Genomic DNA, 13,838 nt, shown 5'->3' with positions numbered 1-13,838 from the left:
TCTCTTGGGCCTGGGAGGGTCAGTGTCTGTGACTGTTTGATCCTTACTATGCTTGGCTGTAGAGGAAGGGGCCTGCAAGATGCTCATGGCCTGCTTGGGAGGACAAGAGTCATGCCCAGGAAGCCGTGCCAGTGACCAAGGGTGGTGGCTCATCTCCTGCCTTGTGTGCTTGTTGTCAGAGCTGTGGCATCTTCAGCCCTCAAAGATTGTGGCCTGCCGGCTTGGCTAAAAGCACAGCTGCCTGGAGCCTCTGTGCCTTTTGGGCTTCCTGGGGCCCATGTCTCCTCTCTGCAAGGTGCACCCTGGGGCTGAAGCTCGGGTGGCTCGGGTGTCCTTGCCTGCTCTGTTGCCCAGAGACGGCTTTATTTTTCTTACCCTGCTAGGCCCAGGGCATGTGTGGCTTATTCCTGGGGCTGCTTGGGACATCGTGGAATTCTTTAACCTGAAGATTCTCACCTCTCCCACCATACCCTCCAGAGTCCAACACAGACACAACTAAGCTCAGGGTCCCCAAGGGTCCAGACCCCAGGTGGAGGTGAGGGGCGGGCAGTGTGAGGTGTTGGCTCTAGGGAAGGGAGTGGTAAGAAAACATGGGCCTGCCGCTTACTCTCAGTGACCTTCCACGAGTTCCCTCATCTCATCATGTCCTTTTTTCGGAGCAAAGCAGGGATAACATGTCCTTGGAGGGTGGTTATGGAAATGCCCAATGCCCAATATATACTGTATGGATAGGTGAATGGCATGAATCCCTCCAGCTTTGGGGAATCAATTCAGTCCATGTTGGCTGGTTTCTAGAACAACTGGGCATGATGCCAGGCCACACAGGGGCCACGGGGAGGAATAGGACATAGTCCCTGTCCTCAGGGAGGGGGCACAGGCTAAGGAGAACTCTCTGCAACTCATCAGCCACGTAAGCTCAGTCAGCTTGAGCGTCTCTGTTCTCCCTGAGTAGGCACCACTGCGAGGAGGCAGTGAAGTGTTCTCAATGGGAGGGAGGAGCCACAGCCCCATCATCGTGCCTGGGACGCTGAGGCTTAGAAATGCCGAAGCTGAACCTGAAGGCGGTTACTGTTTGGCGTTAGAGGTGGGAGATCCAATGGGAACTGTGATTGCTGAGGTTCCGGAGGGTCTGAGAGCTGACATCCGCTTGGGGAGGTGCCTGCAGGGGGCCTGCTCTGGGCCAGGCTTGGTGCTAAGGCTTCACCAACACTGTCTCGTGGAATGCTGATGGCAGCTGTCATCGGCTGTATTGTACCAGTGAGGAAACAGTGTCTCAAGGGGGTTGAAGATCACTGACTGAAGGCCCAGGTCTGCCCACAGCTGCCTCCACCCCTCCATTGCTTCCAGTATCTGGGACTTGAGTTCCAAAGCCATCCTTGGCGTGGGCACACAGTGAGCAGTGCCTGGGGAGAGATTGTCCTGGCTGGAGAGCTCGTCAACAGGCTGAGCGAAGGTGTTAGAACAGGCTGCCCTGTACCTCTGGGGGTTGGTTTCCGGCTCATGTCACAGTCCAGTGGAGACCAGCGGCCTCTCCAAGCAGTGACTCAAGAATCTGTGTTCACTCCATCAGGTTATTCTGTCATCCAAGTCTTTTTCGTCAGCCACATGAATGGGGTCTAGGGAAGGCACGCTGTTCATCATACACTTGAACTAGCTTGGCCTGGAAGCACCCACTACGTCTGCTCCCATTCTGTTGGCCAGGACGCGTCCTGTGGCTCCTGTGCGTGTGCAAGGGAACCAGGGCATGTTGGGCGTGTGGCTGTGGGAGAGCAGCCTCCGGGTTTCTGGCGGGAGCCAGCAGGTGCATGGACCCACAGTGCCGGTTTCCCACAGAGGTCCTCTCAGTGCAGAAAGCCAAGGACCAGCCCCTTTTTTTCCCACTGCTCTCTGGGTGACTTGGAAAGTACTGAAGCCTCAGGGCAGAGGTTGGAGAGAGGAGAGCCAGGATTCCTTGGGCACTGAGAGCAGGGAAGGGTTTTCAGTGAGCCCCTTGTGCTCAGCCAAAGCAGCTGGGTCAGGTGGCCCTGGGTGAGACTGAGGTTGTCACGTGTGCCATTTGGTGGGAATGGGGGCACCAGTTGGACAGCAGCAGAAATCATTTCTGTTTTCTGTTGATGACTGTCTTGCTTACTCAGTGACTAGTGCACGGGCTCTGAGATCTGCAGAGGAGTCCTGAGGCACGTGTACACAGTTGTCCACGTGCGTGCACATGTTGTAGACGTGTCCCTGTGTTGGAACATCTGGAGTGTGGTTCTCCAGTTGTCTAGCCCAGAGTCTGCCTCCCTGGCCCCCTCCCAGCTCCTTCATCATTAGCTGTGTGGATGAAGGCGAGTTGCCTTGGTGTCCCCATCTGTACAATGGGAATAATAATTGGCTCTGCCTCATGGGGTCATTGAGATGATTAAGTGAGATAGTTCATGTGAAGTGCGTAGAGTTGGGCTGGGTGCACAGAGGTGCTCGATGGATGTTAGTTATTGGCTGGATTTGAATCTAAGCCTGTCTGACTCTCAGACTCCAAACGTGTGCTCTTCCTAGAGACTGCTCAGTTGGTAATTTACAAACTTTCAGTAAGTAAATAAGACATTTCACTGGTTTTAAATTTCTGGGAGCACATGATGAGCAGTCTCCCTTTCACCCTGATCCCACAAGCCCCCTGGTCCTCTCCCCTGTGGTGGCTGCCACTCTGACCAGTTTCTAGTGCACATCCCAAGATACTCTGTGCATATCCAGTAAGATCTCACTTAACGTCTTCGATAGGTTCTTGAGGACTGTGCCTTTAAATGAAATATATAATGAAACCAATTTTTTTCTCACTGTTATAAAAAAGTGACGTTGAAGGAATTGATGTTATTTAAGGACCTGCTGTACAATTCAGTTGATACTGCACTTTCCAAGAACCTATCCCCAATGTTCAGTGAAGACTTACTGTACAAGCACATGTTGATTTTGTGTAACCCTTTTTTCCCCTCCCCATACATATTCTAGCATGGTATACTCAGTGATCGGCCCCTTCTTGGAGATCTTTCCACGTCACCACAGAAAGCACTCCCCGTTCTCTTCTGTGGCAGCATGGTCTTCCACCATATGGATCTTCATAAGTGATTCAGTCCCTTCTTGTTGGACTTTTATTTAGTTACTAATTTTTGGCGATTACAAACAGTGCAGCAATGTGTGTGAGTGCATATGTGGGTGAGTTCACCCTGTGAGATCAGCTCCTGGAAGTGAGACTCCTGGACGAGAAAGGTTATGCATTTATATTGTGATGGATATTACCAACTTGCTGCCGTCGAGACGGTTGAATCTGCATCCCCCCAGCCCTGGCCGATACAGTCTGTTATCCGTCTCTCTGACTTTCACCAATCTGGTACATAAAACATGGTTATCATAATGTAGTTGTAATTTGCATTTGTTGTATGAATGAGGTTGAGTATTTTCTAATTTTTATATGTTGGAAGCCTTTTGTAGTTAATTTTCTGTACTTAACATTCAAACATATCTTTTGTTCATGTTTTCTGTTGTGTTAGGTTTTCTTTTTAAAAAAATCAGTTTGTAGGATCTTAATATATTTGAGAGAGATTAGTCATTTGTGATATAAGCTGCAAATATAATACGTGGTGTTCCTGGCTAAGAGGATTCATGATCAAACCATGGGTTTTCCTTAAATTGATACATAAATATAAGTAATTCTCCATCCAAGTCCTATTCTTTTTTTCTTTTTTTTTAGACAGGGCCTCACTCTGTCACCCAGGCTGGAGTGCAGTGGCGCAATCCGTGCTTAAGCCACCCTCCTGCCTCAACCTCCTGAGTAGCTGGGATGACAGGCGTGGGCGTGGTGTGCACCACCAGCCCGGCTAATTTTTTATATTTTTAGAGATGGGGTCTCACTCTGTCATCCAGCCTGGTCTCAAACTCCTGGACTCAGGCGATCCACCTGCCTCAACCTTCCAACAATCCCATGCTGGGATTACAGGCATGAGCCACCACACCCAGCTCCAAGTCCTGTTCTTAAGGATGTGTAGGAAAAATAAATGAGCATGACTGGTCAGGAAAATTGTGAAAAAGGGAGGACCTAGATCTTATTGGTATTAAGCTTATCATGAAGCAATTGTAATTAAAACAATGTGGGAAAAAGAAAACCAAACGAAATCATTGTGATATTGGTGAAAGACAAGTTAATGAAGAGTCCAAAAAATGTGAGAATTATGAAAATATTGGCATTTGCAAACAGTGGGTAAAAGATGGGTAAGTAAATGTTGTTGAGACACTGGAGTGCTCATCCGGAGGAAAACATACACAGATGCACACCTCAGTCTTTCACTGAAACAACTCCCGGTGGATTTAAGATTTAATGATAAAAACTTAAAATGTAAAAATAGTTGAGAAAACCGTGGGCTGATTTAAAAAACAGTCTAGGGAGCAAAGATCAAAAGATGAAAATATTTATACATTTGAATTACAGAAAAGTCAAGATTTTCTGCCTGGCAAAACCACCACAACTAAAGTAGAAAGACAGCAACGTGGGCGGCGCTAGGCAGGCCTTACCACTGTCTGCTTGCCCCCACAGCCTCCATTCCTGCTCTTGATTTCCGGGTTGGGGTGCCAGTGCCAGGCCCTTCATCTTGGAGAACTCTGCAAAGCTGACAGTGGTGTGCTGTGTCGGTGGCCGGCAGGATGGAAAGACCCTGATTCCAGCCCTGGACAGGTTCTCGCTTCCTGACCCAGGTGGCTCTCAGGAGATGGCGTTGTGGTTGAAAACTTGAGGCCTGCCAGCTAGGATTTCAGAATTGTCCTGTTCTCCTGGAACTGGGGCAAGTCTGGGTTGTTGACGCTGTGCTTGTGGGTGCTTCCCTGCCTCTGGCCCCCTCAGATTGTATCTCGGACCACATGATAGCTCCCCCCAGCCTCAATCCCTGCACATCAGGAAAGGACGTCTAGCCAGCTGTGTTGTCGGCCCACTCCCCTTCCTGATGAAGGCAGAAGGCTCAGGAGCCTGTGTCCCGGAGCCACAGGGACCTGGGGGTGTTGGGGGAGATTTGCTGGTTATACAGCCTCAGTTCGGTTGTTTTGCCTCTTGACTTCCTTGCTTCATGTGTAAAATGGTGACAGTGGCCTCTGCCTCCTAAGGACATGGAGATTATGTGCTAAGGAGATTAGGTCTGTCATTTGCTCACTGCAGCACCTGGAATATAAGGGTCCCGGTAGTTCTGGTGGAGGTGATTATCAGAATCATGCTGGTGGAAAGCCAAAGAAGGCCAGAAAGGCCTCCGCTGAGGCCAGAGAACATCCAGCCTCATGTGAGGAAGAAAGTCCTATTTGCTGACACCTGTACAGCATGGTCAGCTCTAGTCACAGAGGGAGGTAATCGATGGCTGGCCCTGGCTGTGTGCTCATCGCGACTATAGGAAGGATATTTCTTTACCCTCACTCCACAGGCGAGGAAGCAGGCTTGGGGAGGGGAGGGATGTGCCCTTCCCCAGGCTGCACAGCTGGAGGCTCAGCCCCTGCCCTCTAACCCCTGGGCATCCTTCTGCCTGGGGAGGGAGCACCTCTGTGCTTGAGGTGGCTTGGGAAGAAGAGCACTGGCCAGCCATGGAGGAGTGCTGTGGGCAAGAGGATTCCGCGAGTTCCTTCCTCCAGGCCTGGCAACAGGAGGTTCATGTGTGGGATCCTCTCCGCTCTCCCCGCAACACACACAGGGCGGTCAGGCTTTGTTACGTGGCTTCTGACTCCCCACCTTGTGGATCCAGACCTGCCAGCCCTTTTATGCTCCCTTTTTTTCTTTTTCTGCTAGCCTGTGATTCGTACTTTCCCCCCAGGACAGGACTAGATTGGTGCCTGGCAACAGAGGGGAGGGGTTAGCTCCTATCAGCTCTGACTCTGGCCTCTCAGGTGCCACTGTGAACAATAACACAGATGAAGCAGCCCCTTGGCCAAGATGCACGGGATCGAGGGACTCATCTGGCAGGTTGAGGGGACTGCTAGGGGTGAGCTTTCCTAGGATGCTGGGGAATAGCCACGTCGTGATGTGGCTCTATCAAGGCTCCTGCCTTTTGCTCCTAAGGGCTCTGACAAGTTATCTTCCCCTTACAGGATAAATCCCCATTCCTCTCTCATCCAAATACTAATAAACTACAATGTGAAAAAAATCATAGCTAAATCCTGTTCTCAACCTTGCAGTTACCTGTCGGGGCCTGTTTGCCTTAATCTGCTTTTCTCCCCTTCCCTTTCCCTTCCCTTCCATCCTTCCTTTGTTTCAACAAATGAAAAAGAAAAGCTTGGGGTAGGGGGACCAGCTATTTTATGAGGACAGATTTGGTTGTGCTGTATTAACCAACAGCCTCAGAATCTTAGCTGAAAACCGTGGGTTATTCCGCACTCATGCCACATGTCCACAGGGCCAGCTGGGGGCTCTGTCCATCTTATTCACTCAGAGATCTAAAACTGAGCAGCCCCATCTGGAAGGTTGCTGGTCCTGCACCAGAGGGGAGAGAGGGCTCTGGAGACCTTACTCCTGCAGTTACATGCTCTGCCCAGGAAACGGCATGTTCTGTTTTCACTCACAGCTCATTGGCCAGAACGAGTCACATGATCACCCATTTACCAGGGAATCAGGAAGTGCAGTCCTGCCTTGTGTCCAGAAAAGGGGCTGATAGGCCGTGTGCGGTGGCTCACACCTGTAATCCCAGCATTTTGGGAGGCCAAGGCGGGCAGATCACATGAGATCAGGAGTTCAAGACCAGCCTGGCCAAACATGGTGAAACCCAGCACATCTCTACAAAACAAACAAACAAACAAGCAAAAACAGAAAAGGGGCTGCTATACCCACAGTCCTTTTATTTTCATATTCTGGGTTTTCTTATCAGCCTTTTCCACAGTAAATGTTGGTTCATGTGGTTGTAATTCAAGCACCTACTCTTATCTCTATCAAGACCTCTTCATTGTCATCTCAGTTACTGTTTTTTTCTTTGTTTTTGTTTTTTTGTTTTTGTTGTTTTTTAAGAGATATGGCCAGGCACAGTGGCTCACGCCTGTAATCCCAGCACTTTGGGAGGCTGAGGCAGGTGAATCACTTGAGTTTAGGAGTTCAAGACCAGCCTGCCCAACATCTGGTAGAGATGAGTAGTGAAACCCATCTCTACTAAAAATACAAAAATTAGCTGGGTGTGGTGGTGCACGCTTGTAATCCCAGCTACTTGGGAAGCTAGGCAGGAGAATCACTTGGACCCGGGAGGCAGAGGTTGCACTGAGTGGAGATCATGCCACTGTACTCCAGCCTCGACGGTAGACCGAGACTGTCTCAAAAAAAAAAAAAAAAAGATGTGGTCTTGCCATGTTGGCCAGGGTGGATTCAAACTCCTGGGCTCAAATGATCCTCCCACCTCAGCCCCATGAGTAGCTGGGATTACAAGTGTGCCCCACTGTGCCCAGCCACACCATCTCAGTGGCTCTTGACTAGCCCTTTGTGGTGGCATGCCCAGCATTAGCCAGCACCCCGTTTTCACACATGCTCTCTGTGTCTTTTCTCTTGTCAATATGTTGTCAGTGACTCTCCCTAGGCCAGAAGTGGCCTTCACTTGTTGATCATTTCCTTAGGCCAGCATCCTGGGAGTGGGTGTGCTTATCCTTTGCCTGCTCTTGGACCTGGCCTTCCAGCACCCAGTGTTGGGAACGCAGAACAGGACTGGCCCATCCTGAGAACTCAGGGTCAGTCCTATTCTTAAGGAGCTGTGCTTGCTGAATGGGTGTAGCTTTTCTGGGTCTAATGTCAGCTCGTAAATTCCCAGAACTTTGGCTCTGCAAGGTAGCACCATCCTCAGGCCATTTAGTTGTCTTGACCCTTTATCTTCTAGGGAGAAAAGTTACCCACTCTTATGCCTTCACGAGTTTGCCGTTTCTTCCCATTATCCGAGTAATTGGAAACCAGTTACTCAGAAATCAGGGAATTGGGTCAGAGAGCATTTTCAACAGCTTCCCTCCCCAGCCTGGGGCAGAGGCTGCTAGGGTGACCAGTACCATCCTTGTCCCAGCCTGCTGGTCTTGGTGGCAGCCCCAAATGACCTTTAGCTCTTGACCTCTCTGGAGCACCTTTGAGAATGAGAGTTGTTCTTGCCAGGGAAAAGACTCCATCTCCTCTTCTCCAGTCTTCCTTTGGAATCAAACCCACTGAAAACACACCACTGGCATGGAGTCCTCTGAGGCCAAGCTCGTTTCTTTTTCTTTTTCTTTTCTTTTTTTTTTTGAGACAGGGTCTCATTCTGTCGCCCAAGCTGGAGTGCAGTGGCATCATCTCGGCTCACTGCAACCTCCGCCTCCCGGGTTCAAGCAATTCTCCCACCTCAGCCTCCCAAGTAGCTGGGACTACAGGTGCACACCACCACACCTGGCTAATTTTTGTATTGTTTGGTAGAGACAGGGTTTCACCATGTTGGCCAGGCTGGTCTTAAACTCCTGACCTCAAGTGATCGGCCCACCTGGCCTCCCAAAGTGCTGGGATTACAGGCACAAGCCACTATGTCCGGCCCCAACATCCTTCTGGAAGTCTGTCCATGAGGTTCCCAGATCTGACTTTCCCTTCTGGAGAGACCTGCTTCTGCTTGGCAAGGCCTTTGAACTTTGGCAATGGCAGTTCTGTCCCAGATTCTCAGATCCATGGAGAGGGCAGAGGAATAAGTCAGACTTCAGCCCTCTCACCCTTTATTGGGGCCATTTTGTCTCAAGCTTGGTTGGGACAAAACTTTTCGGAAGTTTCCACTGGTCAGTAATAATAAGAATAGTAAGTATAGGGAAATACAATAGCTGACATTTATTGAGTGTCACTGGCTAGGTACTGCTAAGAGTGAGTGTGAAGTTGTGAGACTGTGACATGTTATTTAACCACCCTGTGCCTCTCATGAGTCCCCGTCTCAGACTATTGTGAGAATTGAGCAACTCAGTGCATGTGAAGTGCTTAGAGTAGAGCCTGGCACCGAGCAAGTGTGCAAGAGCTGGGTGCTAGTGCTGGGATCGCGAGGCTTCTTGCTTTAAAGACAAGGAAACTGAGGTTCCTAGAGGGCGGTGGCCACACAGCCCTCCCCATTATCTGAGTAATTGGAAACCAGTTACTGAGAAATTGAGGAATTGGGTCAGAAAGATTATATGATACCGTGGGGGAAGAGCAGCCCCCAGCGCAGGAGCAGGAGACAGTGGATTAAAGAATCAGCATCATAACTGGGGTTACGGTGCAATCCTGGAGCGACGTGCAAAGGGTTCTGGGGCTGTGGGCAACACAAGGGAGCCACTAATTCTTCCTGTTTGGGCTGAGGTGAGTTGAGAAATGTGAAAGAGGATTGAACTTTTGCTCTGGGACTCATAACAATCCTGTGAGGTGCAGGGAAGGGTGAGTAGCATCCTCATTTTATGACTGGGGAAACTGAGGTACCACACAGCTCAGTGACCTGCTCTTGTTCAGAAGCAGTGGATTGGAGATGGGTTTCTAGGCCTGTCTGCCTGGCCCACCCCTCCCCAGTTCCAGATCCTGGGAGAGACAGGGATAGTGTCAGGGCCTAGCTCAGCTTGGTTACCAGGCTGGGTACGATTGGGTTAATCATTTTGGAAGTCAAAGAGGACTCTGGGGCCACTGGGGTTTGCAGGCCTTTGTGCCGTCTCCCAGCCCTGCCCCCACCTCTAGTAAGTCTCTGCCTTCGTCCCTGAGGGAAACAGTGGCCCCTTGTTTTCTCTGAGTTCTGAACTCCAAGCGCCACACAGAGCAGGATCCAGCATGGGCCCTGCGAGATGGCATGACTTGGAAACGGAGTGCCCACAGACCTCAGGCCCCGGCGGGCAGCCTTTCATTGAGACACCCTTGCTCCTGCTGGGAGGGACAAACCAGACCCCGTCCTCTGAGGAGAACAAGAAGTCCCTGGGAATGTTCTTTTTTCTGGGGGCAGAGTGTGGTCAGAAAAGCAGAATGACAACCTTGAAATGAGTTCCTGTCCCCATCGCATCTGGGAGACCTGCCTCTGTGGTGTCCTTCCCCCCGGGCATCCCCCTGCACAGTGTCCTTTTCTCCGTGGCCTCCCCAGTCTCAGGAGCTGGGCCCTTTCTCCTGTGGGGGCCGCACCCAAGGGCCCATCTCTTTTCTAGCTAGTGGAGGGAGACCGCAGCCTGTTTGCAGTGTGTTCAGGGGACAGACCCCTTCAGGGCAGTTGTGGCATGTCAGGCACCTGAGGAAGAGCCACTAGAGCTGCCAGCAGCCCTGCTGGTACCCAGCACAGACGCCACAGCGAGAGGCGGCCGCACCCGAGAGCAGCCCAGGCCTGATGTGTGTCCCAAGCTGCTGTTCTCACAGAAGGGTTTTACTGGCATGAAAATGCTTGGAAAATACACAAAGGAGGGTGGCCCGTTTCCAGAGCTCAGCTGTTTACCTTCAGTGGAGCGCCGGGGATGCGGAGAGCTTATTTTCCAAACAGCTGCGGTTGTCAGGTCTACGGGCCTCAGGCTGATGCCAGGGGAGGACACCAAGGGCGTCCCCTCTGCTCACCTCCTTCCCCAGCGCCAAGGGAACCCCACAGTTTCTCCCAGGCAGGGAAACCTGGAGGGCTGTCTGGAGATGTGGGTGCTGGTGGGCATGGGGGTTCTGTGGGCCCGGATGCGTCGCTCCTGTGGCCCGGCTCCCCCTGCGCTCGTAGCTGTCTTGGCCTCTCGTTTGTGGTGCCTGACCCACCGAAGCCACAGGCTGTAGTGGAAATGGGTTGGTGTTTGGCTCTGTCTGAGAGCCCAGTGTTCTCTGCCCATGGCCTCTCTACCTTCCTTCAGAGTCTGCTTTTTCTGGGAAGAGGTATTGGGTGGAGTGTAATTTGGAATCTGTGAAGAGAGCCATCAAAGCTCTTGCAGTTTCTTGTTTCTATCAAAGGGGAAACTGAGGCCCCAGGGGATGGTGAGCCCAGGTCAGCGGGCTGCTCATGGAGACTGACACATGGGCATTGCTGCACAGCCTCCATCCTGGCCGCTTCACCTGCATGGCCTTGCTTGGTCATTTTCCTTCCTGGGCCGTTGGTGTCCTGGTCTTTGCAGCAGGGAGCGTCTTCCCCGGCCCCTGGGCTTGCCGTGAGGATGAGCCGGCGCCAAGTCTCAGGAGATATTGGGAAGTGTCTTTCCCTTCCCCTTCCTCACCCAAGAGCCCCAGAGATGGGCAGCTTCTCAGCTAGCCTGGTTTTGGTTTTATTTTATGTTGTTTTGTACACAGGCCTGTCACCATGGGGAGGGAACAGCATTCCTTAGTAGTTTCTTATTGTGAGGTCTAAAGGATATTTTTTTTTTCTATATAGGGGAAATCCCTTAACATCTTTCCTGGCAAACAGTAAGAAAGAGGAGTTAAAGACACCAGCAGACAAGAGCTGCTGCGTTCCGGGGGTGCAACGGAGAGGAGTTTAGTAAGGGACCATCACAGGGTGTGGGCAGGCCCGAGAGCCAGCACAGGACAAAGTTCCCCGGTGCTAACAAGCCCTGAGAGCTGTCACCACCCCTAGGCCTGAGGGGACTAGGGGACCAAAAATGTACCTGGAGCCATAGGGGAGGCGGTAGTGTTGAGAGAGGGGCTGCCCTGCTCCATGGGGGCTGTGACTGCTGCCAGAAATATGGCAGGGGGTGGGGGCGTGAGGATGCTGCAAATACATTCCCTCCCTCTCTCCTTCTTGCCCATCTTCTGCTGTGCCTCCAGTTGGCCCGACTTGGCCAGAGGACAAGGCAGCCAGGTGATTGTGGCCTGAGAGGACAGCTGCCTAGGGCACAGAGCAGGCGTGGGGAGCGGGGTTGCAGGGGCAGGCAGCGGGGAATGGAGTGAGAAGCGCAGCCTTAGATCTGAGTTTGTGTCCCCACTTCACCGCCTTCCTGCTGTGAGACCCTAGGCAGGTTTTAAAAGTCTCCGTCCTCCACTTTTCTCATTCGTAAAATCACTTCTCATAGTGGTTGTTAAATACAATGAAAGAAATGCACGCAAGCTTTGAGCGTGGTGCCCACTGCCAGTGACCATTTGTAGTTGTCATTATGATGTCTTTCGTAACATTTTTAAAACAGTCAGCCTTGAATCCTGGAGGGAAACCCACTTGGGGGTGGGGATGAGAGCAGGGGTGGGGCTTGTGGCCTTCTCTGGCCTCTGCTAAGGCCAGATTGGGGGTCAGCCAGGTGCCGGGCTGGCGCCGCTGCCTCCGAGGCACTGGCCTTGCAGGTGGTGGTGGCCGCGTGCCGGGAGGGAGACATGTGGCGGGTCAGGAAGCGGGGGTCAGGCTGCCCTGGCTTTTGGCAGGTGCTCCTGTCTTGGGGTCAGGTGACGCTGACTGTTGGCCAGAGGCTCTGGCTCTCTTGGGGCCTGATCTTCCCAACCTCAGGCACTTGCAAAAATAAACACCTTCCCTGGCATAGCAGGAGAGCAGTATGGAACAGATTGCAGGCAGCCCTACGCGCCTTCGCTTCTCCCGATGAGCCCAGATTTCAGTGTGAAGTGCAAGTGGCTGGTCGCTCAAAGCGGCAATTTCTAGATTCCTGAGGACCACAGCTTTGCTAAGGCTTTTTATAGATTAGCAGAAGCAGTATCCACTTAGATCTAAGTTCTGATCTGGCTGTGCGATGTTAGTCATTTACATAACCCCTTGGAACCCTAGTTTTCCTAGGGCAGATGGGGTGTGTTGAGAAAAGCCTTTCTCTGTAAAGCCATTTCTCAGCATCACTTGCCTGGCCTGTTGACACTATTGCCCTGATTCCTCTTATGTGTCTTCTGCATCCTGGGTAGCATGGGGCTTGGGGAACAGAAGTTACAAACGTGGGGTGTGCCCTTGAGGAGTTAGCAGGAGAGAAGAGTTGTGGGGTCTTGGAGGGTTTGTCCTGCTTGTCCTGTCTGTATTTTCCATGTCAGCCCTCCTCCTGCCCCATCTCCAGAGTGCTACAGGGAGGCTCGAGGGTCCTCTGGTGATATGCCCCAGGGTGGACAAGAGGATGGGGGCAGTGGACTCAGGTGCTGAAGTTGTTGCTTTTGTCTGTGTTCCCTGCCTCACAGCTGAACCTTAGCCGGCCGATCGAGGAGCAGGGCCCCCTGGACGTCATCATCCACAAGCTGACTGACGTCATCCTTGAAGCCGACCAGAATGATAGCCAGTCCCTGGAGCTGGTGCACAGGTTCCAGGTGAGTGAGGACCATGCAGCCCTTGGCTGTGGCATTTTCAGGAGGAGGAGGGGAGGCCCTGGAATGGCCGTGTGTGTATTTAGGGCGGTAGCAGCTCTCTGGAGGTATAGTCTGGAGAAATGGCTCTGCCACTGGCAAGACATGGGCTCGTGGGCAGGTACTTCTGTGCGGCGTCAGTGTCCTCGGGTGTAGCGTGGGGACTGAACCAGGGCATGGTTGGGCCGTCTCCACCCCCTGGCTGTGTAGACACGGTTTACTGATGAGGCATCGCTGAGTTCCAGTGTGGCCTCCACGTCCTCAGCACAGGCATGTGCAACCCTTTCCCCTGGCTCAGGTAGGCACAAGGGATGGAACCCTTCTGCTGCACTTGGTAAAGGGGACCCCCGAGGGCCTTTGAACTGAGTCCTGCCTTGGTGGAGAACCCTGCCTCTGCCCATTACTTTGACCTGGGTACTCACCTTTGAGCATGGCCTGAGGTATCTTGCTGAGTCCCTTGGCTGCTTCCCTCTCCCCACACCACTTCCCCAGCGGCCTCCCAGGTCCTGATCGCACAGTGACCTGCCCACTGCCCTGGGGTTCTCATGCTGGCTACTGACTTGTCCTGTGTTCTCTCTGTTGTGGACAAGAACGTGATTCTGTCCTCTAGAAAGCGGCTCAGAGGTCATGAAAAACAAAGTTGTAT

At 52.1% G+C, this 13,838-nt stretch overlaps 1 protein-coding gene across 6 annotated transcripts in view, besides 3 other annotated features; it reads left to right on the top strand.

Annotated features, from left to right (window-relative positions):
• Positions 1–13,838, top strand: part of ITPK1 (inositol-tetrakisphosphate 1-kinase) — a 179,012-nt gene that overhangs the window by 86,094 nt on the left and 79,080 nt on the right. For all 6 annotated transcript variants that reach the window (NM_001142593.3, XM_047431351.1, NM_001142594.3 and 3 more), the window contains one exon: positions 13,031–13,156. In NM_001142593.3, coding sequence (NP_001136065.1) covers positions 13,031–13,156 — 126 coding nt within the window. The remainder of the gene's footprint in view (positions 1–13,030; positions 13,157–13,838) is intronic.
• Positions 9,791–10,574: an enhancer, noted in NCBI's record as "H3K27ac-H3K4me1 hESC enhancer chr14:93485603-93486386 (GRCh37/hg19 assembly coordinates)". NCBI's record gives its function as "activates a minimal SCP1, AML or CMV promoter by ChIP-STARR-seq in naive H9 embryonic stem cells {active_cell/tissue: H9 hESC(naive)}" and the evidence as "EXISTENCE:reporter gene assay evidence [ECO:0000049][PMID:30033119]".
• Positions 10,575–11,358: an enhancer, noted in NCBI's record as "H3K4me1 hESC enhancer chr14:93484819-93485602 (GRCh37/hg19 assembly coordinates)". NCBI's record gives its function as "activates a minimal SCP1, AML or CMV promoter by ChIP-STARR-seq in naive H9 embryonic stem cells {active_cell/tissue: H9 hESC(naive)}" and the evidence as "EXISTENCE:reporter gene assay evidence [ECO:0000049][PMID:30033119]".
• Positions 13,291–13,791: an enhancer, noted in NCBI's record as "H3K4me1 hESC enhancer chr14:93482386-93482886 (GRCh37/hg19 assembly coordinates)". NCBI's record gives its function as "activates a minimal SCP1, AML or CMV promoter by ChIP-STARR-seq in primed H9 embryonic stem cells {active_cell/tissue: H9 hESC(primed)}" and the evidence as "EXISTENCE:reporter gene assay evidence [ECO:0000049][PMID:30033119]".

This window comes from Homo sapiens, chromosome 14 (genome assembly GCF_000001405.40).
Source record: "Homo sapiens chromosome 14, GRCh38.p14 Primary Assembly".
Lineage (NCBI taxonomy): Eukaryota > Metazoa > Chordata > Mammalia > Primates > Hominidae > Homo > Homo sapiens.
This window is presented reverse-complemented; position numbering and strand designations above follow the sequence as displayed.